The sequence below is a fragment of the Homo sapiens genome, chromosome 20 (genome assembly GCF_000001405.40).
Source record: "Homo sapiens chromosome 20, GRCh38.p14 Primary Assembly".
Lineage (NCBI taxonomy): Eukaryota > Metazoa > Chordata > Mammalia > Primates > Hominidae > Homo > Homo sapiens.
In genome coordinates this window covers 1,815,767-1,819,082 of record NC_000020.11, presented here as the reverse complement: position 1 = coordinate 1,819,082, position 3,316 = coordinate 1,815,767, and the positions used below count along the sequence as shown (strand labels likewise).

At 51.0% G+C, this 3,316-nt stretch overlaps 1 annotated feature.

Moving 5' to 3' along the window:
• Nucleotides 2,466-2,760: a silencer, noted in NCBI's record as "tiled region #14496; HepG2 Repressive non-DNase unmatched - State 20:ReprD, and K562 Repressive non-DNase unmatched - State 24:Quies". NCBI's record gives its function as "represses a minimal TATA promoter and a strong SV40 promoter by Sharpr-MPRA in HepG2 and K562 cells {active_cell/tissue: HepG2 | K562}" and the evidence as "EXISTENCE:reporter gene assay evidence [ECO:0000049][PMID:27701403]".

Genomic DNA, 3,316 nt, shown 5'->3' with positions numbered 1-3,316 from the left:
CCTTGTTCCCCCCTACAGCTAAGCCGGGATTTGCTGGAATATTGTGTGTCAGTGTGGGGGTGCGACAGAGGAGCCACTCCAGGAAGGGTGGCAAGGGGAAGGTGAGGAAGGCTAGAGAGACAGGCAGAGAGAGAAGGGGAGAAGCAGGGACACGGATGAAGGGGAGACAGAGACAGCAACAGCGACAGAGAGACAGAAACGAGAGATATGCAGAGAGATACGAAGAGACAGAGAAAGAGACAGAGGGACAGAAAGAGAGAGAAAAACAGAGAGGAAGACAGAAAGAGACAGAGAAGCAGAAAGAGACAGAGACAAGGACAAAGGGAGGGAGATAGAGTGACAGAGGGATGGAGAGAGGCAGGGAGAAAGAGAGAGAGAGAGAGAGAAAGAGGGAGAGAGAGAGACAAGGCACATACACACCCACACACACCCAGAAAGAGAGGCAGGAGGGAAAGCAAGGGAGGATAGAGCAGAGACAGAGGGAGAGGGAGATAATGCTAGGGAGAAAGGGAGAGATGTGTAAGAATAGAGAGGGAGAGATGGGCTGGGGGAAGAGACATGGAGACACTGAAACCCTGGATATTGAGGATTAAAGGAGAGACAGAATATTGTGGGGGGAGAGGTGGGAGGGAGAGACAGAGACAGAGAGAGAGAGAGAGAGAGAGAGGGAGAGAGAGAGACAGAACAAGCATGCTGAGGAGAGAGAAAGTAGCACACAGATGCAGAGAGACAAAAAGGGAAGACATAGGAATAGAGAAATGGGGAGGGCTGGGGAAGAGACAGAGCTAGAGGCAGAAAATGATAAAGAGAGAGAGGCCCACAGAATGGAGACGATGCAGATTGACAGATGGGGTAGAAAAGAGCCAGAGAAATTGCAAGTCAGGAAGGAGGCAGGGGAGAGAGGCTGACATGGAGGGGTGGATGAGGAGACCTGATGGGCTCTGCAGCCTGCGTGCAGGTGCGAGTGTGTGGCTTGTGAGCACAATGGCCTCCAATGGAGGGAAGCCCCTTGTTCCCAGCCCGGCCCCTCTGCTGCCTTCCTCAGTGCCTGAGAGTGGGGTGAAGCATTGCCTGCCTTTGATGCACAGAGGGTGGGGCAGAGCAGACCAGTTAACAGAGTGTGGTTTAGAAGACAGGCAACCCCGAGTTCAAGCATCAGCTCTGCCAATCCCTGCCAACCCCCTTGGGGCCCTTACTCAGTCTTTTGGAGCCTTGGCTTTCTTGTCTGGAAAATGGGGCTAACAATGCCTATCTACATCATAGGATCGCCACGGTGCCTACAGGAGGCCTCACTGCAAAGGGCTTGGCACAGCACCTGAGTCAGCTGCTATTGTCCAACCTGGAGTGTAGGGTGGACTGTAGTCCTTCTGTGATCTCATAATCCACCAGCAGACCCCTCCTGTGTACCCCTCTGTGTACTCCTGCTGTGTACCTGGAGACCCCCAGGTCTCCAGGGGTCAAACCACACCCCACAGGCACCTTGGAAGAAGAAATCCACAGGAGGAAAAAAAGAAGTAGGAATCTTGGTAGCTGGGAGAGTTCTGAGAGGGCATCTCAGGCAGCTGTGATGGGTTCAAGAGGAAATGGAGGCTTGGGTGCACTTCCCTGGTCTCCACCTCCTTCAAAGAGAACCCAGGGAGGAGGAAAGTGTGACCTTGAGCCTGTCCAGGGCTTCTGCCTGCCTGGCTGACCCAGAGCGGGTTGGATTCCATGCTCTGTGAAGGCCTTTGAGGTCCTAACAGTCAGGGGTTCTCGAAGTCCATGATTGTAAGCAGCCCGACTGGGGCTGGGGGGCGATGGGGAAGGGTGTCCCCTGCTCCCCCACCTCCTTCTGCCAAGGCTGCAGAGGGAACAGAGGCCGTTGCCTTCTGAAGGATTTGTCACAAAGCGCGGTGGTCGGTTACCGGTTACCACATAAGCCAAGGCCTTGATCTGCTGTGTTTGAGGAAACCCTTTGTTCCTTTCAAGTCTCTATTCTCTGAGCCAGGGCTAGTGCGGAGACCGAAGCAGTGAGCTTTCTCTTTCTTCCTTTTCTTTTTGGATTTTTAAAAATAACTGGCTTGCGCATTCAGGCGGTGTTCCAGAATTGGGTTCCCAGGCTGTGGTTCAGGGCCAGGGACTCCAGCAGCCCCTTCATCCCAGGAAGGCCTCGGGGGAGGGAGAGCCTAAGGGCTGATGGGGAGGGGAGGGCACACACAGGTGCTTGTGAGAGGCTTGGGCTCAGGAACCAACACTGAGGGGAGACTGAAGATGGGGTTCTAACTCTGGCTATGCACCCCATGCATGCCCAGTGCATCTTCTTCTGGACCTCAGTTTTTTTCAGTGCAGGGTTGGAGGCCAGAGCAGAGATGGCCACTTTTTCCCATGGCTGAGTCTATGCCAGACATTGCTCATCAATTGCCCTTCCCCACGGAGCTTGGATAAGCCCCAAGAAGTCTTTTCAACACCGTGCTCTGGGTATCTACTGCCAATTGCATTTGGCATGCAAAGTGAGACCTGCTTCCTGTCCTGAGAGAAGATCATCTCTGAGGCACCAATATGAAGTGGGGATGCAATAAATATTTTTTGGATGAATGGGCACTGCTTTTTTTAGCCCTTACTTCATGCCAGGCATTGTTCTGAGTACTGTTTAGAACATGCCAGGCATTGTTCTAAACGTTGAACAAAACAAAGTTCCTGACCTCAATCTCACATGTGAGGGAGACAGGCAATAAGCAAATGAACAGAGAAACAGATCAAATGTCAGGTGGTGATCAGAGCCATAAAGAAAAATTAAAACAATAGAGAGTGACAGGCTGTGGGTCGGTAGGGGGGAACGTTGTGGATAAGGTACCCAGAGAAGATCTTCTGGGAAAGAGATATGGAGTAGACAAAGTGACAGTCTCCTCAGAGCCCATCACTCTAGGACTTTGAGTCTAAATTTGTCTGACTTTAAGATTCTAATTTCATTGAGTAAGATTCTAGAATCTCGTGAATCTAGGAACCTATAACCAAAATTATAGATTTTCACTGCTCTCATATTCCATGACAATGATGCTAGAATTCTGTGACTCTGAAATTCTAGGCTTCACTGATGCATCTTTTTGCTTGAACAGACCAGGATTCATTGCCTACCCTCTCCCCACTACCCCTAGGAAATGGAGCTGAAAATAGAAACAGTCAAAACAACAAGCCATTCCAGCTCTAAGTGCCATAGTAAACAAATGGTCCAATGTTGCTCTGATAGTTTAATTGCGGCAGTTCCAGACAAGCCCATTCATGAAGGATCTTTAGTTGATGGAGAGGAGGAGTGAGCACCCAGGGAAGGGATGGCTTG